Genomic DNA, 24,647 nt, shown 5'->3' on the forward strand with positions numbered 1-24,647 from the left:
CAGGTGCAGGCAAAACCACGCAGTGTGGGACTGTGCTGACTCCAGCCGCTTCCCCAGGAGGCTGGAGCCTCTCTGAGGAGCCTGTCCTGACCCAAAGCCCGGCTCTCTGCTTCATGGATGTTTCTTCCTCCCTCCCACTGCCAGCCTCCTTGTCCTGCACACACCTCAACACACCGCCCCTGCGATCGCTCTTCTGGAGACACCAACCCATGAGCTAGCTGTCTTGTGCGCCATGCCCCAATTCCCTGGAGGCCGACTGGTCACTGACACACACATTCCCTTCCCCTAGAAGCACACAGTCTCACAGCCCCGCCTGACACAAGCTCTTATTCCTATGCACAGGCCTCTCCACAGACAACAGAGACCTAGGGAAGCAGCGGTGCCACTGGCTTGGGTGATAAGCCCCCTCCATCCACCACAACCTCCACCAGTATCCCTGAAGGGTGTGTCTCAGGAAGGGAGGCACTCCAGCCTTCTGGGGGTGGGGTGGGGATACCTTGACAGGAATCTCCGAGCTGACTTGGTTCTCTGTGTGCGCCTATCTCCTAGGACACATCAGTCAACACAGGCTTGGAGCCTGTCAGAGCTAGAAGGTGCCTTAGGGAGCCACTAATCCAACCTCCTTCGCTATGCAGGAGGAAGGAAACCAAGGCCCAGAGAGGGGAAGCAGCCTGCCTAACGTCACACAGCCGAACTCCTGGTTGCCCTTTTCTTTCATAGTTCCCCAGTGGGAGCCCTCTATGTGTGGTAAAGACACTGGGGAGTAGGGTACAGTTAGCCCAGAAAGGCTTTTCTGAGGCAGAGGGAGGTGGAACCGACTAGTTGGGAGGGGAATCTGTAGTCCTAGAGAGTTTATGAGAACTGCCCAACAGTGCATCCAAAGACATGAGCACCTCGCAGCCCTGGAATCTGGGCCACATAAATTTGGTGGGATCCAGGCTTTGCCAAAAAGAGCTGGTGGATGCTCATTCCTGCTCCACTTCCTATCCCAGCGCCCCAGAGAGCTGTCTCCCCAAACCAAAGGCAAGGGAAGGTTACAAAGTTCCCTATACCTGGCCTTGAATGCAAGTTCCCTCTGTGGTCCAGGGCATCCCTGCCTTTTATTATTTACGTAGATCTCTGCCAGGAAGCCTCTGCGATGCATGAGTAAAGAGGTGTTCTGCCAGGTAGTTTTTATTTCAACTCCATTTTGCAGAAAAGCAAACTGAGGCTCACAAGAGGTAGGGTAATTTGCTCAAGTTCACACAGACAACAAATGGGGCCTTGAGCTCCTTCCAGTACACCAGGGTCTTTCCCAGTGGACATGGAAGGCCAATCAAACAGGAAACAGGGAGAACTGGGGATAGGAGAGGTTGGGAGTTGACACAGGCCCAGGCCCAACATCCTGGGCTAAGGAGGAACCCCGAGGCATCTGAATTTGAATCTGGGTATCTGGCAGTGATGGAGTGAAAGGTCAGCAAGGAGATGAGAGGAAGAGGAAAGCAGAATTCCACCAGCCTCACAGCCTGCCTGGACCATCCCCTGGGGAGCCAGCCTGGAGCTCTCTGCCAGCCCCCGCCCCACCCCCAGTGGAAGGCAAAAGGAGCACTGTGAGGAGACTAGTGTGACAGAGACCTTGGGAAGTGAAATCTCACAGGCTTGGTGCAGGGGAAGGGAATTCAAATGTTTTGGGGGCTACCTCTATTCCTCAGGATGGGGCTGGATGTCACACGGGTGCCCTTCATTTCCCACCCTTACTATGTGCAGATGCTATGCTAACTGATTGAAATGTTGTGTAACTTTGAGCCCCACCACAAGGCCATGGCCTATCTAGTGTTATCTAGTTTTTCACGTGAGGAAAGGGAAACTCAGGAGTAAAAGGACTTGTTCAAGGTCACACAGCCAGCGAGTGGCAACTGTGGCATAGGTGAAGCGTGCCTATCCCGACTGCTTTTGTTTACCATGGTGAGAGTATGCTAGGTGGGGGCAGGAAACAGAACTGAACAAGGGCCACTGGCAGGGGGAGAAGGGTCCACCATCAGATGGGGAAGATGCCTGCTGAGTTGCCAAAAGGTTCATCAGTTTACAGAGCACCAAATGGTGCTGGAAGGGAACAAAGTTGTGGGAAAGCGTCCCTTCCCCTGCCCAACAAAGGGCAGGGTAGACCTCTTTCCTTCCCCAAGCCATAGTGCCAAGAGTGAGCCCTGAGAGGTCACATACCTACTCCTGGATTCTCAGGGCTCTTGTAAAATGAAGCCCCTCCCATCCCGGGGCCCTTCTCTGGACTCTGGGGCCTGCAAGGTGCAGAAATGCTCTCAAAGAAAGCTACTGTCGCCGTCGGGAAAATTATCCAGGATTTTCCCAGCACATCTGCCCCCACATCGGCTCCGCAGTTGGGAGGCGGGGCGGGGGTGCTGCATGCTGGGAGAAGACTGCCTTGCCTCCCTCCTAGCAGCCCTCAGATTCCTCTGGCTGGAGCAAGAAGCTCCAGTCCGCAGGCCCAGCACTTCTCAGGGCCCGAAGAGCCCGCCTCCGAGTTTTCCCGCCGCCGCCGCCGCCTCTGGGGCTACCTGGCAGGCTAAGCTGCCCACTGATCCCTGCCACCTCCGCCCCCCTCCCAGATGAGGCCACAGAGTTTCTGGCTCCTGGAGGAGGTGACGGGCGGAGAGGGAAACCAGGCGGCTGGGGGAGGGGCGTTGCCTGCACCTGGCCCTTCTCCGCCGCGCAAGCCGGGAGGGGCGGGACTGGACCCCCGCCAGACCCGAAAAGAGAGGCCGAGGAGGCGAGGGGTGCTCTCTCCACTCCCGCAGTCTGGGGCCGGGCGGCGAGGTCTCCCCCCACCACCCTCGCCGCGGAGGCGCCCCCTAGGGTCGGGCGCCAGGCGCCCCTGCCCGAGCTGCGCGCTTAGCTCGCTCCCCCGGCCGGCCGCGCTCTCCAGCTGCAGGAAATTCCAGAAGCTCTCCATCATCCCCGCGCAGCGCGCAGCCCGGGCTGCCAAGGCTCCCCGAAGGAGAGCCACATGCCGGCCGGCCGCGCGGCCCGCCCTCGGCCCCCACCCGGTCCAACCCGGCCGGGTAGCCACGTCTGGCCGGGCGGGGGCCAAGCCGGCCGCCCCTTCCCGCGCCCCGGGCCCGGCGGAATGCGTGGCAGCCCCGACCGGGGGCTATTTTGAGCGGGAGGGGAGCGGCCCGGCCTCGGTGTTTTCGGCTTTTTCCTGGCCCCCGGCCCGCCAGGCCGGGCCCTCTGCTGCCCGCTGAATGGGAGGGGGGGCGGGGTCACGTGGCGGGGGGAGGGGAGGGCCGTCGCGATCCGGGTCGGGCTCGGGCTCTGCCCCGGCCCGGGGACTGGAGGCGCCCGGCAGCGGTCCGGACCTGCGCTCTCGGACGCGGCTGAGTGGCGGGGTTATTAATAGCGTGCCTGGCTCGGGCAGTGGCTCCAGGGCGCCCGCTACCTGCACGCCCCTCCTGCAGAGAGCACTGGCGGCCCGGCGCTCCCTCCGCAGCGGCGGACTGAGGCCTAACTGGATAGCGCCACCGTGAACCGGCGGCCAATCACAGGCCTCGATTTCCTTACCTGTAAATTGGGGTTGAGCTACCCGGCTTTATAGGGTAGGTGCCATATAAAGGTTTTGTTTGCTGTGTGCCTCTCCTTGGGCAAAACGCTGTCACAATTGGGGGCCTCCGTTTTCCTTATTAAAACGAAGGGGTCTGAAAAGGCCCTCTGCAGGGAAAGCGTCCGGACATCTGAACAATGCGTTTTCACTGACCACCTATTTGTGCCTAGCGACTACCCAATGGTCACTGCTAACACAGGGCACCTGCCCTGCATTATTAGCATGCGCTAACTCAATTATAAGGCCTCCATAAAGTAGGTAATATTATCCCCTTTTTGTTAATGAGAAAGCTGAAGTTCACGAAGGTTAAGTGACCCACCAAAGGTCACACAATGTCAGAGCCTAAAGTCAGAAAAACTCTGGTTCCAGAACCCGTTAACCACTGAACACAGTGTTCACCCTGACACAGGCAGGACAAGCATTGCTGCTTCCCTCCTCCCTTTCAGGCAGTCCCTGGGGACCCCTTCTGCTCTGGTCCCAGTTCCAGGCATGAGGGGCTGTTCTCAACAGCTCCACTGGGGCCATTCCCACCTCCATCTACCCGTAGGGACATGGGGGGATCACACCAGTGTCACCCTTACAACAGTGGAGGCTGCTTTTGGGCATGTGGTGACCCGTGACCCTGGCCCTGTCTAGGCACTGGCCATCCTGAGTCTAGCACCTCACACACACACATATATACAGTGCATCCCAGTGCTCACCGCCTGCCCACACCCCCCAACGCCAGCACCCACCGTCATGACATGAACACAGAGACCAGTACCCTACCTTGCACTGGTGACAGCGCCCCTGTCACAAAGCCAGCAGCTTCAGACAGCATCCCTCAACATTCTTCCTGGCTACTCTGTCCCTGTCCCTCACTCCCTCTCCAGTAGCTCACAGTCCAAATCCCACAACGGATGGGGAAGCTTAGGCCCAAGAGGAAGGGATGGGAGGACACAGTCATCCCTCCTGAGACCCGGGGATAGGATCATAAATGAGGAAAGAAAATTGCCTTTGGCCAGTGAATGACAGACGTGGGCATCCAATACAAATCATTCAGCTCCTGGTCGGTTGCCCCACTGCAGCCCTCTGAATCTGTTCAGCTCCTGCCGTGCGGCAGCTAGAGGGGCCCCCAGGACAGGATTCTAGAAATGGGCACCAAGCTGGGACCAGAGTCCTAAGGACCACTCTCTGCTCCCAAGTGTCAGTCCCAGACTATGGGCCCCTAGGTTTCACTAATCCATCAAATTCTAGACTCAGCCTAGCCTCAGAGCCATGGGGGCAGGGGCATCTGGGGGTGAGGGGAGATGGCATACAGGGGGAACAGCCTAGGACAGGGCTTGGAGCTGCTTCCTGCTCCCCCCACTCCCAAGCAAGGAAGCACAAAGACTGGCAGGCCCCCCACTCCGCCCCGGAAACCTGGCAGTTTATTTCTGTCTCTGGGCCCCCTGTTTCCACAGAGTCAGTCCAGGAAGGCTGGCAGCAGCTGGCTCGGAGGGGTGGAGCTCCTGCTCTCTCAAGGGTCCAGCTGCCACCCTGCTCCCCTCCCCCTGACCTGCCAGGCCAGACAAGACTGAGGTGACACTGGGATAAGGGACAGGAACTGGGGGCCAGTGCTCAGAGGTGATACTGAATACCCTGAGAGGCCAGAGCCCCAACAGAGATTCCACCTGAGGCCAGGGAGTTAAGACTCCAGGGGAGGGAACCCCTGACTCCCCAGCCCACAGCCCAGATGTTCTCCCAGGCAGTCAGACTACACCCAGTTCAAGTCTGCTAAGGGTGTAACCTCTGGCGAGTACAACCCTACTTGTTCCAGATTATTCTGGCTCATAACTCCTCTGGACCCTGGTCCCAAAGAAAAGCCTGTTTCTAAATCTGTGCTGTCCAACATGGTAGCCACTAGCCACATGTGAGTGTGGCTAGTCAGAACTGGAATGTGCTGTAAGTACAAAATATACACCAGATTCTGAAGTCTTAATGTATTTTTTAAATATAAAATACCTCATTAATAATTTTTATAAGGCTTATACATTAAAATGCTAGTACTTTGGATATATTGGGTTATATAAGATAAATTGTTGGGCCAGGCACAGTGGCTCATGCCTGTAATCCCACACTTTGGGAGGCCGAGGTGGGTGGATCACCTGAGGTCAGGAGTTCGAGACCAGCCTGGCCAACACGGTGACACCCCATCTCTACAAAAAATACAAAAATTAGCTGGGTGTGGTGGTGGGCACCTGTAATCCCAGCTACTTGGGGGGCTGAGGCAGGAGAATCGCTTCAACTCGGGAGGTGGAGGTTGCAGTGAGCTGAGATTGTGCCACTGCACTCCAGTGAGGGCAACAGAGCAAGACTCCCTCTCAAAAAAAAAAAGAAAGATAAATTGTTAAAATTAATTCCACTTACTTCCTTTTATGTCTTTTTACTTTGTTTAATGTGGCTACTTGAAAATTTTAAATTACATATGTGGCTTCTCTTTTTTTTTTTTGACACGGAGTCTTACACTGTCGCACAGGCTGGAGTGAAATGGCGCTATCTCGGCTCACTGCAACCTCCACCTCCCAGGTTCAAGAGATTCTCCTGCCTCAGACTCCCGAGTAGCTGGGATTATAGGTGCCTGCCACCATGCCCAGCTAATTTTTTGTATTTTTAGTAGAGACGGGGTTTTACTATGTTGGCCAGGCTGGTCTTGAACTCCTGACCTTGTGATTCACCTGCCTCGGCCTCCCAAAGTGCTGGGATTACAGGCGTGAGCCACCACACCCGGACACATATATGGCTTCTATTATGTGTCTACTGGATAGTCCTGTTCTAAATCTTTTTTTTTTTTTTTTTTAAGACAGTGTCTGGCTTTGTCACTCAGGCTAGAGTGCAGCGGTATAATCACAGCTCACTGCAGCCTCAATCTTCTGGGCTCAATCTTCCCACCTCAGCCTCTTGCATAGCTGGGACTACATGCTACCATGCCCAACTAACTTTTTAACGTTTTTGTAGAGACAGGGCCTCACTACGTTGCCCAGGCTGGTGTTCTAGGTCTTGTGGGTTCTGGCTTTGGACTAAAGCTTTGCCTTCTCTGGATCCGTATCTGTGTGACTTTAGCTCACTCACTTTCTCATATCTAGACCACAGCCTTATGTGTTAGTCTAAATCTCACCACCCCACACCACCCCACCCCAGTTTTCCGTGAATCTAGGTTCAGCCAGAGATGATGGCTTAGTCTGCTTTATACACACTATTTAGTGCATTTCTTGTTCATCAATCCCCAATATCTAGATCCCAGCAAGAGTGTGACTATAGATCACCTTTCATGTTAACTTGCCATGGATCTAGGTTCCAGCCTGACATGTCAACATTGTTTGCTTAGATCACTGTCTAATTAGGTTTAAAATCTACACACCCCTCAGGAGGAATAAGGTTCTAGATCAGAGGTTGGCAAACTATGGTCCATGGCCTGTTGTCTGTTTTTATAATTCAAGTTTGATTGGAACACAGCCATGCTCATTCGCTTATGCACTGTCTATGACTGCTTTCAAGGTGCAATGGCAGAGTTAAGTACTACTCATGACAGAGACTGAATGCTTACAAAGTCTAAAATTTTTACTTTCCAGAATGACCATTTTAGATGAGCAACAAATCCAACCCACTATAAATTTAGATTCCAGCCCAAGACCATGGCCTAGTCTAATCTAGATCACCTCCTGCTGTGGTTCTAGACAGTGCTGCCCGCCAGGATCTAAAACCAGAGCCTAACATTGGTTCCCTGGTGCTTGGGTTCCAAATCCTACTCTGATCTCGGCAGATGGGCCCCAGGACTCCTCTCTGGGATGGAAAGGGTGTCTCTACTTCTTAACTCCCCTAGAGAGATCAAGGCCCATGGGCCCTTCTTGATGGCCTTGGGATGTGGGAGGGAGGGTAGATTCCAGAGACAGCACTGGAGGCTGAGTCAAAGAGTTAGGGGTAAGCCCTTCCAGAACAAGGGGGCAAAATATAATGAGGCCAAGAGATAGAGTGGCCCCACCTCCACCCCTTCCCAGCAGGCTCCAGAGCAGGTCACTTAGCTGGGGGTCATGTGGGACAGATACCAAGCCCTCTGGAAGCCAGGCCAGGGGGCTCTAAATGAAATCCGCATCTCCAGCCCCTTACCTCCAACTACCTGATGCGTCGTCTCTCCTCAGAGCTGAGCTGGCACCACTACCCCTCTTCCCTTTTCTCCTGCTCTGCTATCTCCACGGCTTTCTTTGAAAACCCTCCCATACCTGTCCCCTTCCCTGCCATTTCTTCTTCCTGAATCCTAGAATCCTTGGCTAACCTTTGTGGTTAAGATCTCAGGGTCTGGATCTGACAAGCCCAGGCTTAACTTCCAACCCTGACTGGGCAAGCCACTTCATCTCTCTAGGCCTCCTCAGTTTTCTCGTCTGTAAAATGGTAACTATTTCACAGGTTGTTGTATAGCTTTAACAAGATCATGAGGTATATTGCTCTGCCCAGTGCCTGGCACATAATAAGCATTTAATGCTAGCTGCTATTTTTATTACTATTGATCATCTAGCTTAGTTCCATAGATGGACTTCACAGGTTTATAAACCTCACAACATTTTAACCAACCAAAAACTTGGGTTTTTTTTTTGAGATGGAGTCTCGCTCTGTCGCCAGGCTGGAGTGCAGTGGTGCCATCTCAGCTCATTGCAACCTCCGCCTCCCGGGTTCAAGCGATTCTCCTGCCTCAGACTCCCGAGTAGCTAGGATTACAGGTGCATGCCACCATGCCCAGCTAATTTTTGTATTTTTAGTAGAGACGAGGTTTCACCATGTTGGCCAGGCTGATCTCGAGCTCCTGACCTCAGGTGATCTGTCCACCTCAGCCTCCCAAAATGCTGGGATTACAGGTGTAAGCCACCACGTCCCGCCTGTTTTTGTTTTTGAGACAGGGTCTCGCTCTGTATCCCAGGGTGGAGTGTAGTGGCGTGATCATAGCTCACTGCAGCTTCAACCTCCTGGGCCCAAGCAATCCTCCCACCTCAGCCTCCCAAGTAGCTGGGACCATAGGCATGTGCCATCACACCTGGCTACTTAATTTTTTATGTTGCCCAGGCTCAAAACTTTAAAAAAATATATTTTTAAAAAAAATTTTTCTGGAGAGAAAGCCCCTAGGTCTCATCATCTTCTCAAAATGGGTCCTTAGCCAAAATGGTAACCAAGAGAAAAAAAAAAAAAGGCAGGCACGCCTTTAGTTCAATCCAAATGGGAAAATAGAGGTGTGTAATAAAGAAGGGACCCTCAGAAAATCTGGGCAGATCCAAGGCCAGAACCCAGGGGTATCCTCTCCCAGGCCCTACTCCTTCCTCCAGTCCAAGTGGTCTCTCTGATCTGACCTCATCATGTCTCACCTACTTGGCCATGACAGCTTCCTGGTGGGCTCCCCCACCTCCAGTCACCTCCTCTGAATCTCTTCCACCTCGAGCTAGCTACATCTTCCTCAAATCCCATTCTCATGACTCTGCGTGTCTGCCCTGAAACCTTTAACAGCTCCCTACTGCTGACGACAACATCAAGGCCAAGGTCTTTAGCCTGACATTCAGGGGCCTTCAGAGCCAGCTTTGGCCCCACCAACCTCCTGGCTGTTCTCTCTCATCTGGTCAGCGGGGCTGACTTCTTCCTCTCCTCTCTTCCCCTCCCCTGAGTCTCAACACCACCCACACACTCACTCCGTTCTGGACAGATTCTGCCCCTTTGCTCAATCACACAGTGTCTCAGGCCTCCCCTGCTATGCCCTTGGGATTGCCTCTGGGTCCAGCCAACCTCTGAACTCACCCTGATTCCGCCAGACCAGCAGAAGCTGGCCAGGCTTGGCTCCAGGAAACAGGCCTCTGCCCCTGCTCTCCAGCGCAGCTCCATCCCTGGACATTGACCCACCTCGGCACTGCCCACACCCCTCCAATTCCCATCATCTCTTTTCATCTATCCTCTAGACTTTCAGGAACAGAACAGCGAATCCCACAGGGAGTTAGCAGGTATAGCACTGTCCTCAAAGTCATGACTCTTGACTCAGTCAGATTGTTGTCTTCAAGCCACACTGTCCTTATCTATAAAATTGGGATGGCAATACCTGTATCTCACTTGATTCTCACAAGGAATAACTGCCTTGTAAACTGGAAGGTGCTTTTTCTACTAAAACCTGCTATACAAATAAGAGTAACAACAGCCTCCATCTGTACATTGATTTAAAACTGCAGTAACCCTGTAATGTGGGCATGCCCAATGCCCCTTCTCTGATTCATTTTCCTCCTTGGTACATATCACCATCTAACGACCATTTATTTCACTTGTTTTTACATTAACTGTCTGTTTTACCCTCTAAATGTAAGCTCCTTGAGGGCAGGGATTTGTGTCTGTTTTGTTCACTGCTGTGTGTCCTAGAAAAGTGCCTGACATCAAGTGTGCACTTGATGGTTAAGGAATGAATGCATGAGTCAAGTGCTTACTGCATGGCAGGCACTGTGCTAAGCACTCCTCACAGAGCATCTCATCGGAGGGGTCAGGTACTTTGATGACCCTGTGTTTTGGAGATGCGATGTTCAGTTGACTTGCCCTGTTCACATGGTGGGACACAACTTAGCTAGGATTGGACTGCAGAGCCTGCCTTCTTGATCACTATACTGTAGTTTCTGTCCAGATGGGGGTTTATTTCTATTTCTCTTTTTTTTGAGACGGAGTCTTCCTCTGTCACCCAGGCTGCAGTGCAATAGCGCACTCTCGGCTCACTGCAACCTCCGCCTCCTGGGTTCAAGTGACTGACGAGTAGCTGGGATTACAGGTGCCTGCCACCACATGGGGTTTCACCATGTTGGCCAGGCTGGTTTCGAACTCCTGACCTCAGGTAATCCGCCCACCTCAACCTCCCAAAGTGCTGGGATTACAGGCGTGAGCCACCATGCCTGGCCGTTTATTTCTATTTCTACATTAGCTAAGCCTCTCGAATCTGTCACCCTCCCTATGTCCTTGAGGCCACCAGCCCTCCCAATCCTCATCCTGATCTCACTCAGCAATTTCCTCCCACTTCTGAGCCCTAAGCCGCGTTCATTCTCACCTCAGGGCCTTTGCTGGTGCCCGGCACCCTGCCTGGCATGCTCTGGCTCCCCCATCTCTTTCAACTACCCATTTCTCAAGATTCACCTCTTCTGGGAAGCCCTCCCTCCAGACTTCACTTGTTCCCTTCCCTGAGCTCATGTCTTGTTGTTTATTGCTGAGAAAACCCACTCGGGGAGTGTATGTTGATTTGGTTCATTCTCTAATTGTTTCCTGAAGTTGAAGGCCTTGCCCACCTCTGTCCTTCCTTTCTATTCCCCCTGTCCCTCTCCTGGCCAGGTCTCTCCCTCCTTCCTCTGCTGGATCAATGCCCTCACCCCTAACCCGTCTCTTAATCAGGTTTAAAGCTTTGTGACTAATAGTGTGGCTTTTGAGTCTCTCACACTGCAGCTCCACCCTCTCCCTATTAGCTGTGTTTCCTTGGGCATGTCACTGTACCTCTTTGAACCCGATTCCTATCTGTGAAATAAGGATAATATGAGCCCCTGCTTCATGAGCAAATGTGCCTGGCACATAGTAACCACTAAGTATCAGCTCTTTATTATTTCTATAGCATCTTATCATTTCACTTATCTCCATTCTGAAGGCTTCAGCCTCCTCTCTGCCTCCTTCCCAAGCAGTTGTCCCCTCTTTCCAGATTATGGTGGTAACAATAAGATTGCTAACATGACCCCTTATGATCTGCAGTGACTGGAAACATGTCTGGCACCCAGCAGGTGCTTCATATTAGTTGTTGAATAAATTAATTAGCTAATTTAATCCTCACAACACCCTATGGAGGAGAGGAGAACTAGTATTATACTCATTTTACAGACAAGGAAATCAAGGCCCAGAGAGGGAAAGCAGCTCCCAGGGGCTGGGATTTAAACCCAAGCCGTCTGACTCCAAAGTCGGGACGCTCACTGCCCATTCCATCCTCACCATTCCCATCCTTATCTGCTCTGATGCCAACCCCAGGGAGGGACCCTTTCTTTCTCCAGGTATTGGATCTTAGCATCTAGATGGATGCTCACTGAGCCCCTGCTCCAAAGCTAAACCTTCATGTTTTATCTCATTTGAGCCTCACAAAACCCTATAGCATCAATGCCATTATTATTTCCCCTCAACAGGTGAGGAAACTGAGGCTCAGAGAGGAGTCAAGTAACTAAGGACACACAGGATTCAAAGCCCAAATTCTTTAAATGACATGATTTTTTTGCAATGTTTTTCTCTTATTGTTTTATCCCACTGTTGAGAATTGACCACACCTATCAGCCTTGTTTTTCCAGTTAGTTGGGCAGCAAGCTCTCTGAGGCCAACCCTTCCACCTCTCCCATTGGTGGCCAGCACTGTAGCGGGGTGAGCTGTGCTCTATAGAGGCTTCTGAACCACTGATCTGCACACTCCTAGCGAGGCACAGCCTGACACTCTGCCTGTTTCCCCCACAGCACTCTGCCTTATCACCCCATCAAACTTAGTGTTGGGAAGGGCAGGGCTAGGTCTCCCCTTCGGCCTAGACTAGAGGCTCCCCAGAGATGCCTTATCCCCCAGGAATTCAGGGCTCCCATCTCCTACTTAGGGCATCAAGGGGGCAGGACAGGACAGGCGTGGTGGCTCACACCTGTAATCTCAGCACTTTGGGAGGCCGAGGTGGGCAGATCACCTGAGGTCAGGAGTTCGAGACCAGCCCGGCCAACATGGTAAAACCCTGTCTCTACTAAAAATACAAAAATTAGCCGGGTGTGGTGGCAGGCGCCTGTAATCCCAGCTACTTGGTCTGGGCGACATGGCAAAACCTCGTCTCTACTAAAAACACAAAAAATTAGGCAGGTGTGGTGGTGCACACCTGTAGTCCCAGCTACTTGAGAAGAGAATCACCTGACCCTGGGAAGTCGAGGCTGCAGTGAGCCGTGACTGCTCCACTGCACTCCAACCCGGGCAACAGGAGTAAGACCCTGTCTCAAAAAAAAAAAAAAAAAAAAAAGAAGGAACAAATGAACAAACAAGGACTCTGGATCCTAGCCTTCCAAGTTCAAAGGGCGGCTCCACCACATACTGACTGTGTGACCTTGGGCAAGTCACTTTACCTTTTTATGCCTCAGTTTTCTGATATATGAAACAAAGACACTAATAAAAGGGCTGCAATAATAATTAAGTGAAGATCTGTTTATAAAGTTGGAATAGTATCTGGAACATAGTAAACACTATATACATGTTTGTTAAATAAATAAAAGTTGAGCTCCACCTAGCTCTAGAAAGGTTCCTGTGGTAGGGTACAGAGCTAGTGACAAAGCCCCTGTTCCAAACAGATAACTGAAGACACACAAGGAAACGGGAAGAGGTAGCAGAGACTGCACACCTTCGAGAAGCCCCTTGTGGCAGGGACCCCCTCCTCCTCCCCACATCCTCCAGAGGCAGAGGACCCCATTTCCCGGCCTAATCAGTCTTCTGACCTAATCCCCCCACCCTAGTCCTCAAGCCACTTCCCCTCCCCTTCCTCCAACTGTTAACTCTTTCCATGCAATCAGACTGTGGCCAGAATTCAGGCCCTGCTGCTTAGTTGCTATGTGACCCTGGGCAAGTTACTTAGCCTCTCTGAGCCTCAGCCATCTCCTCTATACAAGGGGTTAATCCCCCTGGAGGTCTGTCCTAGGGATTAATGAATAACTGAAATCATACCCCCGGATATGTCCATAGATACTAAGACATGCTGGTGTCCCACAGGCCCGACAATGTGGATGGGCATGCTGTCTGGGCACTGGGGTGGGGGAGAGGGGAAAGGAGCTGCTGTTAAAAACTGACCCCCAACTTCAAAAGTTTCCCCAAGGGTGCCTAAGCGCCATCCAAGGCAAGCTCCCCATCCTTCCAACTACCATCCTATGACATCAAAATACTGTTTCTTGAGAGACAGGCAGGGGCCTCAGGTCAGGCCCCTCATTGCCACAGTCACTACTTCCAAGGCCCTGAAGCAGACCTGGGCGAGAAGAGGGAGGGAAAGGAGGAGCCACAGGTGAGATGGGAGGAGAGGACCCCTGGTGGAGAGGACCCCTGGGATGAGACAGGCAGAAGGGGAGAGGGACAGGCCTCCAAGGACCTCCCTCTCCCCCACAGCTAACCCGGCAATCACCTGGCCCAGCCTTCCACCCATTTGAAAAGGAAGAGGAGCCAGCGGCAGTAGGTTATGATAGGCGATTACCCGTCATTAATTAATTAAAATAAACAGCAGATTAAATACAGCAAAATTAAAATAGCACAGGAAATTAATTCTCTCCTAGCCCTACCTCACAGGTGAGATGCTTAAAGGGGCCCTTGAAGCCAGGATCCAGGGCAGCTTGGGCTGGAGGCGTGTGTCACCAAAACCTGCCTTACACCACAACTCCCGGCAACCCCAAATATCAAAGGCAGAGCCCAGCTACCCATAGGCACCCACCTGGCTCTGCCACCCCAGATTGGCCTCCTGGCTCCTTATCCCCAGGGCACTCCAAGCCCTGCTCCCCAGTCAGTGGGCAGGAAGGGTCCTGACACCCTCTAGGTCGGGGGGTTGGACACTGGGCCACATCTACCACCACACAGGTCAGAGCAGAAGAAAAGAGGCACCCTGGTCCTCTCTTCTGGGTCCCCTCTGGGGCTTGGAGTCAGGTCTCGGCAAGACCCCCCTCTTCTGTGCTGAGGCCCTGGCCCCTCATTTGGAGTGCCCCAAAATCCATCTCTGAGGACCCCTCACTTTCCTCCACTTTTGGCTTAGGATGCTCTGGAAGAAAGTACTGCTGAGGCCCAGAATCCCAAGCCAGAAAAATGCCTGACCCAGTTGGCTAGACCAACCAACCCCTAGGACGTGATGCCAGAATTCCCTCCTACACAAGACTAATCGGCTCATTGCACAGATGGGGAAACTGAGGCCGGGGAAGACAAGGCATTTTGTTTGTGGTCACCCAGTGACCTAGTAGGAGAGCCTGAAGCTGACTCTCTAAGGGGTACATTCCATGTCACACTACAACACTGGATTTTCAGAGGGCGGCTCAGTTCCATGCTGCCCTCTCCCAGCCTAGCCTCTGAGGCCTCGCCTCCATAGGCCCGTTCCACAACTTTCCCTTCTGTCCTACGCAGCAACTGGTTAGACCTCAACCAACCTCAGTTCCTGCCCTCGGCCTTGCTGTTCACCTAGCTTGCTTGGAAGCTCCTTCCCCAACTTCTCCCTGCCCAAATTCTACCAGCCAGCTCAATACCAGTTCCTCCATGAGCCACCCAGAACCCTGACAATTTCCTTTAAGCTTCTGGGGTGGAGGTGAAGGTGAAGACTCACTCTCTGCTGTCTGTGTGATATGGTTATCAGGTGAGCTTTCTGTAGACTAAGAAAAGAGTCTGGGCCCCAGCAGCTGGCACAGTACCCAGCCCTCAGAAGATGCTCAGTAAATCTCTTCATCTGATGTCCCCCCATGTCCAAGTGATAACTGACAATAATGGCTATTATTTATTGAGCAGCTACTACAAGCCCAACACCTGTACTACCCCATCCTTGCACGACGAACCTTGCTCATAGAGGTTGTATGACTTGCCTAAGGTCACTCAGCTCAGGAACTGGAACCCCACTGATCCTTAACCCTAATTGAATCTCCTCTCCATCCTACTCACCACTTCTAGGTTAGACCATCATCTCCCACTTGCACTTCCAAAGCCCCTCAACTAGCCTTCCTGCCTCCAGTCTCTCCCTCCCCTGGTCCTGCCAGCAAAGATTTCCCATAACCCCTTGAAGCCCACTGGATAAAACTGAAGCCCCAGAGCATGGCATCTGCACGCCGTGACATCTGCCTTCTGGCCTCTTTGCAGTGTCTCCTCTGGTCTGTGAACGTCCCTCCGTTTTCTCAGCATAACACACTTGATTCACTTTCAGGCTTTGCATATGCTATTCCCACTGCCTGGAACACCCTTCCACGCTTCCTCTTATGAATTCCTACACATCTCTCAACATCCAAGATCAAGGGTTACTTTACAATGGAGTTGGAAGAGACAGGCAACAAATAGGCTGGTCACAAAACTGAGAGCCTGTGAGGGAAGGGCTCATGTCCATCTTGGTCACCACAGTATCCCCAGGGCTTAACTCATCATCAATGCTCAATCAATATTTGTTGAATGAATCAATGAATGCTCTGTATAGACCTGCTGACTAAACAGAGGAATGACAAAAGAATACAAGGCCACAGCAGGCAGGGCCGGAGATAGACGGGGAGAGACTGAGGCCAGGAAGGGCAAGGACATGGTGAAGAGCAGTAACAAATACCGTCAGGGCTAATCTGCAGCAGGCCACACTCTTGGCAGAGAGAGTGTTTATGAGAGACAGAGGAAGGAAAATGATGGTGTGAGGGAGGCTCTCAGTGTGTGTGTGTGCACATGGGCAAGAAGAGGTGAGGACGCATGTGTGTGCTGCATTTGTGAATTGGCCTGTGTGAGAAGGCAGGGAAGTATGCAAACATGTACGTGTGTGTTTGTAGGGGGGCTGTGTACGCATGCCATGACGGCTTGGGTATGTATGGGTGTGTGTGAGGAAGGCTGTGTGTGCACAGGATGCCGTGTGTGTACATGATGGAGGTTGTGCACTTCTGCTAGGAGGGAGTGATTGAGAAAGACAAGAGGGAACACATGAAGGAAGGGTGAGTGAGTGAGAAACTATGTATGGGGGGGCTGTTGTTGTGAACATGTGCATGAGGAGATGGTGTCCCTGTGAGTGTGACCAGTGGGGAAGGTAGGTAAGAGGTTTCAGGGCTCTGCTGAGGGTGCAGCTGCCATGGCCTCGACCACAGGCCTGGTGCCAGAGGTGGGGGCTGGCCCTGGGCCCAGGGTGGGGGGTTCTGACAGAGCAGAAGATTCCTCAGAGTCCTCCCTGGAGCCACAGGCGCCAGATTACCATGTCCCTAGGCAGGGAGGTCGAGGACGAGGCCCAGATGTGCGTGTGCCTCTACATCTGTCCACAGTAAAACCTCTGGGCATTTCTTTGTCTTTGTCTGTGTCCGGGTGTGCACGCCTGTGCTCGTGTGAGTACCACTGGCTGTGTGTCTGTGCCTGTCTTTGTCTCTATATGTTTCTGGGCCTTTGTCTCAGTGTGTGTGGCTGGTGATCTATGCCTGTCTGCATGGCAGTGTCTGGTTTTGTGGGTGTCTATGTGTGTCCTAGACTCCATGCATGTCTAAGTACAGAGTGCCAGCATCCTGCTGGACTACTGTTTGCATTTGTGGGTCCATGCGGCCTTGGTGTGAGTGAGGGCACATTGTGCTTTTGAGACTGTGGGTCTAGGCTTCGGTGTATCTAAGCGTGTGCTTGTGTTTCTGTATGGGAGACTATGCCATGTGTTGTAGTATGGAGATGCTTATCTAGGTCTGTGTGATGTTTGTGAGACCAAGGATATGTGTGTGTCTGTATCTGTGTGTTGGGTGTGAGGGGTTTGTCACAGACTGGTGAGCAAGTTAATCTCAGACTCTGTGACACGTGGAATAAAATCACGCTCCCATAATGGGATCATTCGTCTTCCTGTCCAAGGAGAGAACCAACCCTTCACCCTCCGCCCTGGGGGAGCCAGTGGGGCCAGGGCCAGGCACCGGCCCCCACCCAGGCCGCCTTCTGCCCTCAGCACCCCCACCCCCTCCTCTGCTGCACCAGGCTCATTCTGCCTCCAGAGTGCCCTAGTGCCCACTGTGGGCTGGGCAGGGCTCCAGGACATGTGACTGGGCCTTAGAGGCCTGTCCTGGGCCCCCTGCCCCACCCACTGCTGAGGAGAGCCCTGCCCTGAGATGAGAGCTGGGGGTACAGGAAGGACTCTTCGGGCCCCTCCTTCTCCTGGAGGGGAGGGATGAGCTGCAGGCCCCGGCCGGGATTTTCCATCTCTCAGCAACAAGATTCCTGGTGAGCAGGCTGCGGGGTTTGGCAGCGCGCCTGCTGGAGACCCGCCCTCACCCGCCAGGATGCCTGGGTCCCTGGGGCCAGGCAGCAGCGAGTTCCCTGGGGAGCTGGGCGGGGAGGCCCACAACTCCAACCTACTGTTTGCCTGGGCCTGTGGGAAGGCCAGACCCTTCCAGGCCCACACCTCCCAACCAAAGATGGCTTCCCAGCACCCCCAGGCAAACTATTACCCTTCCTCTGGCCTCCCCTAAGCCCCAGCCTTAGCTTAAGAAAGTATTCCCAGGCCAGCCACCCAGCACCACCCACCCCCACCACCCCTCAGCACACACCCAGCCTGGGTTCTGCACCTCACCTCCAAGTCCGAGGGCTCTCAAGGTGAGTGTTTTGCTTCTCTCAGACTTGGGGGGTCTGAGGACAAGGCTGTGTGTCCTGCATCTGTTAAATCCCTCTTGGTCTTAGCTCTCCTTCCTGGCTGGGCTGAGAGGCATCAGGAGAGGATTTAAGGTCCAAAGTTGGGGAAACTGAGGCAGTGAAGCCCTCCGCCCTACTCATCACAATGAGTCAGAGGCAAAATCCAGTCATCTGGACTTGTCTTAATGCTGCCTAGCAATAGTGGCTGCAGCTCTTTCTTTCTCGTGGGAGGGTGCAATTTCCGGAGGGGATGAGCATCAGCTGGAGGGAGTGGGGAACAGGCAGGTGGGCTCCCTCAACCCCCAGCACCTTGGATGAGCAGTTGGAGAGCAGGTTTGCTAAGAGACTAAGGTTGAGGAGGAGAAACGAGATGCTCCATGATTTATGAGCCTAATTCTTTTCCCTTAAATTCCCCTCCAACCCCCACCTCCCAGCCCCAGCCTGGTCCCTCCAGGGCCATGCTGTGGCCCCAGGCCAATGTCAAAGCCCTAACCCATCCATCAGCTGTTGCCAGGGAGTTTCCACCCCAATGGGTTCCAAAGGGAGCGGCACAACTGACACTAGGGGCTCAGATTGATGGGGAGGGAGCATGGCCCTAAGGAGTCTGCCAACAGACCCCTGCACCCTCCTAGAAGCTGGGTGCTCACAACATCCAGGGAGGAAACTAGGCTGGTGGGTGGGGCCCAGGAGGAGGTAGCCTCCCCGCTCTGGCACCACACCCAGCCCTGCCCTTTCAAGAGGCCAGGAGACCTGGGATCCCACGGGGCCCTGCAGCTCACAGGGTGTGTGACCTTGGGTGGTGACTGCTCCTCTCTGGGCCTCAGCCTTCCCACTGCACAATGCAGAAAGTGGCTCAGATATCCCAGGTGACCACCTTTCGGCTCACCCCCCTTAGCATTAGGCCCTGCCCTCTGTCCAGAATCTGGCCCAGATGGGGTAAGGTCACAGCAGCTACCTGGAGGAGTCCTCACAGCCACCCAAGTCAGAGCTGAAGAGTTTATGGTGATCACCCCTCCACCACATGCCCATTTTCCAGTCCCTGAGAGAGGATCTGGAGTCTGCACCAAGACCTGAGTTTTACTGGTGGGGTGGTTAAGAGCACATGTTCTAGGGACATACAGACCCGGATTAATGCCCTAGCTGCACCAGTAACTTGTTATATGAAGTCCTGTGCCTTTTCTCAGCCTCAGATTCCCCATCTGTAAAATGGGGTAATAGTGCCTCTCTCCTAGGACTGTTGAGTTGAAATGAGAAAATGCATGCAAAGGCCTTGGCACAGTGCCTGACACATAATAAGTGCTTGAACAATGGTAGCGATCATAATTGTGGTTAGTATTAACATAAATCCAGTGGCCAGGGAGAAGGGGGAAGAGGGATCCCCGACCTGGCTGGAGGCGATCCAGCTTCATCCTTGAGCCAGGTCAGGACCCCCAGGGTCTCAGCCCAGAAGGGCCAGCCGAATTCCTCGAAGCCCCCTAGCTGTCTCCCCTATTTGTTAAAGGCCTCTCATTAGTGAGCCTAGGCACCTGCCCCTCCACAAGTAATAAGCCTCATTAGTATCTTAGCCCCAAGCTCTGAGCCCAGAGTCTATGTGTGTGCACACGCATGAGGGTAGGGGGCTGCAACAGGCCACCAGCCAGGAGACAGCATCCTCGCCAACCACACCCCCTGCCTGTCATCCACAGAGCCCGTCACCACCCAGCTTGTCACCTGCCTGCCTCGCACCCGCACCACCTGTCACCCACCCAGCTCGTCACCCACCCAGCCCATCACCTGCACCACCTGTCACCCACCCAGCCTGTCACCGGAGCCGCCTGACAGACATCTGGGTGGGGGACAGGAGATGGGGAGGAGAAGACCACAGGGGTGCGGAGCTGGGGGCCCCAGAGACCCTGTGGGACCCCCACTTCAGCTCGGCATCCTGCAGCATCGCCATGGCAACCTCTCAGCCGCAACCACTTTCCCAAACATCCCCCGCCCTCCCCCCCCCAGGCCCTGCTCTTAGCTGAGCTGAGGCTGAGAAGAGCCTGAGTGACAGCAGAATGGGGCAGGAAGGAGGGGGCTCCCCAGCTGGCTGGCCTTGACCACCCTTGCACCCCTCTGGACTCGGTTGCTCCATCTGCAAAATGGAGGGGCCGGAACGCAGGAGGCCCCTGTAGACAGGTCATCCCTCTCTAGCCTGGATTGGCTGAGCCGGCTGCCGGTTAACCTGTGAGGGCTGGGGGTGGGACGAAAGGACCCAGGGTTTCTGGGTTCTTCCGCACTCCTCTACCTCGGGCCCAGCTCAGAGAGGCTTGGGCCCCTGGCCCAAGCTCACACAGCAGACGAGGAGGCGCAGGCTGGACGGGAGAGGGGCTCTGCCAAAGGCCTGCCAGCTGGAGGTTCCATACTGGGTGACCCAAGGTGACCAGGGGCAGAGTTGGCCCCACCTCCGAGCTGCATTATTTATAAAACCCAGAGCAAGGAGCTGAGCAACAGCTGCGGTGCTGCCCCTCCAGGGGACACAGGCCTCGGTGGAACGGAGTAGACACGGTGTCTCCTCAGGGAAGGCCCCTAGGGTCCCGGGCTCCCTCCAGGGCTGGCTGGGGCAGGGGCTGAGGTGGGGAAGGGGGAGCAGCTCCGTCCCTCCCCTCCCCCTCCACTCCTCCAGGCAGGCAGCGATAGGATTACTTCTGCATGACTGCCCGCTCCACAGGGTTCCAGAGACCCTCCTGCCTGCAGCAATCTTTAAAATTCCTCCAGCCCAACCTCTCTCCCTCTCTCCCTGCAGTGAATGCCCCAGAGTCTACCGCAGTGTGCCCACTGCTGCCGCCACCACTACCCCCAGGCAGGCTGGGACCCAGGTCCCTGGTGTCCATGGGCAAAGATGGACCCATTCTCAGGGCGTAGCCGTGTGTCCCTCAGAACCCTAAGACCCAGGCCCTGGCCCATTCCCTCTGGCCCTTGGTGCTGCCCCAGTCCCACAGCCACGGCTCCAGCTGGGGTCAGGCATGCCAGCTGTGCCAGGGCGGATGGGCACATATGTGCAAACACCCCCGGTGGGTCTTGGCATGCCTGCCCATGGGCTTTGCTGCCAGAACCTGGCTGCCCCACCTCTGCTCTGAACCCCTCCCTATCTCACCAATCCCTGCTATCCCCCCAGGGTGGGCAGACAGCTGGGCTAAGCCAGTGCCTGCGGCTCCCCAGGGCACAAGAGGCAGGCAGGAGATCGATTCACTGAATTTTTTAAGGCCCTAATGGAGCCTGCATCCCAGGACTTGCTGGGCTGGGACACAGGCGATGTCTTGGGGACCCTTCCCACAGCACTGCAGTTGCTTCTTCTTTAGGGTCTTGGGGATCAGTGGAGCCCTTCTGTGAGCCTTCCCTCAGCAAGAGAGGAGGCACGAGGGACCTCTAGGAAAGAGAAGGGATTTGGGGGCTGTGAGCAATACCCAGAGCCCCCCTATCTCCCCAGTCCTAATGCAGGCAGAAGCAGCTCAGCCTCTAAATCACTCCCCTCATGCTGCCCTCTGAGGCGGATTCTGTGCATCTGTAATTAGGGGGTGGAACAGATGGTGGAGATTCCGTTTAAAATCATGCATCTAGTAAAGTAACCTTCACTGTCGGAACTGACTCCCAGGGAGACCAAGCCCCGCAGCCTGGATTTGGGGGTGGGGGGTAGTATGTCAATCCAGCACCTTCCCCATCCCTCTCCCTGAAGCCCCAGGCCCCATGTCCCTCTCAGGTGAGCCAAGGGGTTGGGGGAGGGAGGCAGTGATTTGGCAAGCACTTGAAAAAGTGTGGGCTGGGGGCAACTCCCCCTGTCCCTCTCTCCCACATACATGCCAGAGCCAGGGCAGGGCTGGGTACTGAGAGTTCCTGGCTGAAAGACCAGGATGACCAGGTGCCAAGGGGCTCTGCCCCCACCCCAAAGAGGCCCCAAACCTTTAAGCCCAGGCCAGGGTGCCCAGAGCACAGGGTCTTGGGTGGGGCAGCTTTGAACCAGATGTCCAGCCTCACTGTCCAGGAATGAAAGGCCTGGGGCGGTGAAGGGGTGGAGATGCCTCCCCAGGCAGAGGAGGCTCTGGGAAGAGCGGGAGGCCTGGGCAGCAGAGAGAGAGAGAGCGAGAGCACACAAGAGTGAGCAATGTGTGTGACAGGCTGAGGCTGTCTAGGGGAACAAGGTGGGGGAGAGGGTGTGCTGGAATGTGCCAACGGTGGGAGTGAGGGCTGCAGAAGGATTAGGCGGGGTATGTGACAGGGTGCCGTGGGGTGCAGGCGGAGCACAGAATGGGTGCAGGGTTGTGACTAGCTGAGGCTGTCTTTGTGTACAGGTGTGGTATCGGGGTGTTTGGAGAGGTGTAGGGGTGTCCCTGGGCCCTTAGGTGGCTGAGGAAAAGTACCGGAGCTGAGACTGTCTGGGAAGCGGTGGGGCCGGGCCATTAGGACTGCCTGTCGAGGAGGTGCCGGGATCCAGGAGGCAGTGTGCACAAGTTTCAGGAGGTATTAGAAGCTTCGGGGCCTGATCTGTTAGAGATATACTAGAACCGAAGCCATGTCTGTGTGTTTGAGGCAAATGTTGTGGCTACAGAGGGTGTTCTTGTTTGAGTGGGTGTTTGAAGCAGTGAGTGTATGTGTGTTGTAGGGGGAGGCTGTATGTTTGGAAAGGTATAGGGGATGATACCGGTGTTTGGGGAAGTGCTGAGCTATAGCTGGGAGAAACGTTGGGGGCTGTGGGCAGAGTGTGTGTGTCTGGGGAGGTGTCAGGGCTTTGAGGGTATGAGTCAGTGGGAAGGTAGCAGGGCTGTAGCTGGGTCCTGGGTGTATCTGGCAGTGTTGGGGTTGGATAGGGGGTTGATATGCTGAGGGTGTGATAGCTGTGTGTGTGTGTGTGTGTGATTGTGTGTGTGTTGGGGTGTTTAGGGATGTATTGGGGGGTCATAAAAATGTGGGTTTTGGTTAAGTACTAGGGCTGTGAACATGTGCCTGGAAAGGTGTTGTGGTTGGTGGAGGATGCACTGTGGTTTTGGGGAGGAGCTGGGGAGTGTCTCTGGAAAGGTTATTGGGATTTTAATTGGGTACCTGCAAGGGTCTGGGGAGGCGTTAGAGACCTGAGGTCCCTCCATACGTGGGAAGGGAAGAATGGGTCTCTGATATCAGAGATGTGCCACAGGCTATCGTCCGTGCATGCACAGGTATGAGGGCTGTAACCAGGTTCCTGGTGTCAGGGAGGTGTTGCAGGTTGTGGGTAAGCATGTGGTGGTTGTGTGTTTGGGGGTATGTGCATGTGAGGTAGCTGGATGTCGGGGGGTATCTGTATGTAGAGTGTGTGTGTGGAAGTGTGTGGGCTGGGTGTTGTAGGTGGAGCAGTTGTGTTTTAGAGGTGTTAGAGCTGTGAGTGTGTATGTGGGGCAGTTGTCTATTTAGAAGGTGTTGGGAGCTGTAACTGAGTCCCTGGACCCCAGAGAGGTGATGGGGCTGCAGGGTTTGTGTGTGTTAGGGGGGATGCCCCTCTGGGAGAATGAAGGGCAGCATCCTGGCCTTTGCTCCGGGGCCTAACTGGGGGCTACCCGCTAGAACCCCTATGGTATGGGGTGCCTGTGCGGGGGTGTTGAGACAGGCAGTCCATCTGTCTCAGCCTGTGCCCAGGCCCAAGGAGCAGAGCTGCCTCCTCGCTCCCTGGGGGGCAGCAGCGGATCCAAGCCCACCCATCTGCCTTCAGATGGTCGAGGCAGGAGCCTCCACAAAGCTGCCTGGAGGGCAGCACTGCGTTTGAAGAGACACAGGCTGGGGGTGGGGGAACTGCACAGCAAACAGTCCTCACGGAGGCTCCTTTAAAAACCACTGACGCCAGAAGAGAGGAAGAGGGAGGACAGGGGCGGGTATGTCTGTCCTTGTGCATCTGTGTGGGTCAGTGCCCAACTTCCAGGCCGGGGGCCCCTTCCCACGTGCTTGTGCTGGATGTTCCTGTTCAGGTAGCACTCAGGCCTTGGAAAACACTGCTCCAATCCAGGCAACAGGCTCCCAGCCTCACACCTGAACTACACCCTCATATCTGCATAGTCCCTACACTCACACGCACTCATACACCTTCCCACATGCATGCCTGCCACTGCACGCTCACACATGCAGTTTGCCCCATGCCCTTAAACCTTCATATATGTACCCCCATCACACATACCCCACCCTGCAAAACCCACAGTTACACACACCCATCTTACACACACACCTATCACATAAACGTGCATCCACACATACATACCTGACAAGTCACTCTCACACACACACCCACACACTCCACACACCTTGGAGCTCCCTGTCACACCCGTACCCTATCTCACATACACCCAGTCTCTCTCACACTCCATGAGGACACTCGCCATCCCTTCTACCTGCACATGCAAGCACATGTTTATACACATATGCCTCACCACCTTTGAGACAGCTCCCCACTACCCAAGCCACTGGGCATTTCTCTGTGTCCAGGTCAGGCCCTGAAGCTTTCCAGAAGGGCTCTCACCGACTGAGAGGACCTTCTGCCTCCCCACCTTGCCAGCCGGGTTAGAGTATGGGGGTGGGGGGCAGGTGGCAGGGGGAGGTTCTGTGTGCTCTGGTGTGACTGCCACTGTATGTAGGAGGGTGTCCCATGACAGGGCCTGTGAGTCAACACCTGTACAGGGAAGGAAGCACAGGTGCGTGTTCACCAGCTATGTTCGTGAGATGCAGA

At 54.4% G+C, this 24,647-nt stretch overlaps 1 protein-coding gene across 22 annotated transcripts in view, besides 8 other annotated features; it reads right to left on the reverse strand.

Moving 5' to 3' along the window:
* Positions 1 to 24,647, reverse strand: part of AHDC1 (AT-hook DNA binding motif containing 1) — a 69,983-nt gene that overhangs the window by 38,408 nt on the left and 6,928 nt on the right. For 2 of the 22 annotated variants that reach the window (XM_047418011.1, XM_005245850.4), the window contains exon 3: positions 17,883 to 18,007. The exons of 18 other annotated variants lie outside the window; for them this stretch is intronic. The gene's annotated coding sequence lies outside the window, so the exon portion shown is untranslated. Of the gene's footprint in view, positions 1 to 4,360; positions 5,678 to 17,882; positions 23,430 to 24,647 lie in introns of those variants that run through there. 2 more of the 22 variants (XM_047418020.1, XM_011541257.3) reach the window with 2 other exon arrangements.
* Positions 3,261 to 3,400: a silencer, noted in NCBI's record as "silent region_522". NCBI's record gives its function as "represses an Ori minimal core promoter by ATAC-STARR-seq in GM12878 lymphoblastoid cells {active_cell/tissue: GM12878}" and the evidence as "EXISTENCE:reporter gene assay evidence [ECO:0000049][PMID:35858748]".
* Positions 8,793 to 9,322: an enhancer, noted in NCBI's record as "H3K27ac-H3K4me1 hESC enhancer chr1:27907956-27908485 (GRCh37/hg19 assembly coordinates)". NCBI's record gives its function as "activates a minimal SCP1, AML or CMV promoter by ChIP-STARR-seq in primed H9 embryonic stem cells {active_cell/tissue: H9 hESC(primed)}" and the evidence as "EXISTENCE:reporter gene assay evidence [ECO:0000049][PMID:30033119]".
* Positions 19,236 to 19,809: an enhancer, noted in NCBI's record as "H3K27ac-H3K4me1 hESC enhancer chr1:27918399-27918972 (GRCh37/hg19 assembly coordinates)". NCBI's record gives its function as "activates a minimal SCP1, AML or CMV promoter by ChIP-STARR-seq in naive H9 embryonic stem cells {active_cell/tissue: H9 hESC(naive)}" and the evidence as "EXISTENCE:reporter gene assay evidence [ECO:0000049][PMID:30033119]".
* Positions 20,384 to 20,957: an enhancer, noted in NCBI's record as "NANOG-H3K27ac-H3K4me1 hESC enhancer chr1:27919547-27920120 (GRCh37/hg19 assembly coordinates)". NCBI's record gives its function as "activates a minimal SCP1, AML or CMV promoter by ChIP-STARR-seq in naive H9 embryonic stem cells {active_cell/tissue: H9 hESC(naive)}" and the evidence as "EXISTENCE:reporter gene assay evidence [ECO:0000049][PMID:30033119]".
* Positions 20,958 to 21,531: an enhancer, noted in NCBI's record as "H3K27ac-H3K4me1 hESC enhancer chr1:27920121-27920694 (GRCh37/hg19 assembly coordinates)". NCBI's record gives its function as "activates a minimal SCP1, AML or CMV promoter by ChIP-STARR-seq in naive H9 embryonic stem cells {active_cell/tissue: H9 hESC(naive)}" and the evidence as "EXISTENCE:reporter gene assay evidence [ECO:0000049][PMID:30033119]".
* Positions 22,400 to 22,529: an enhancer, noted in NCBI's record as "active region_557". NCBI's record gives its function as "activates an Ori minimal core promoter by ATAC-STARR-seq in GM12878 lymphoblastoid cells {active_cell/tissue: GM12878}" and the evidence as "EXISTENCE:reporter gene assay evidence [ECO:0000049][PMID:35858748]".
* Positions 23,144 to 23,669: an enhancer, noted in NCBI's record as "H3K4me1 hESC enhancer chr1:27922307-27922832 (GRCh37/hg19 assembly coordinates)". NCBI's record gives its function as "activates a minimal SCP1, AML or CMV promoter by ChIP-STARR-seq in naive H9 embryonic stem cells {active_cell/tissue: H9 hESC(naive)}" and the evidence as "EXISTENCE:reporter gene assay evidence [ECO:0000049][PMID:30033119]".
* Positions 23,670 to 24,195: an enhancer, noted in NCBI's record as "H3K4me1 hESC enhancer chr1:27922833-27923358 (GRCh37/hg19 assembly coordinates)". NCBI's record gives its function as "activates a minimal SCP1, AML or CMV promoter by ChIP-STARR-seq in naive H9 embryonic stem cells {active_cell/tissue: H9 hESC(naive)}" and the evidence as "EXISTENCE:reporter gene assay evidence [ECO:0000049][PMID:30033119]".

Source organism: Homo sapiens, chromosome 1 (assembly GCF_000001405.40).
Source record: "Homo sapiens chromosome 1, GRCh38.p14 Primary Assembly".
In the NCBI taxonomy this organism is placed as follows: Eukaryota; Metazoa; Chordata; class Mammalia; order Primates; family Hominidae; genus Homo; species Homo sapiens.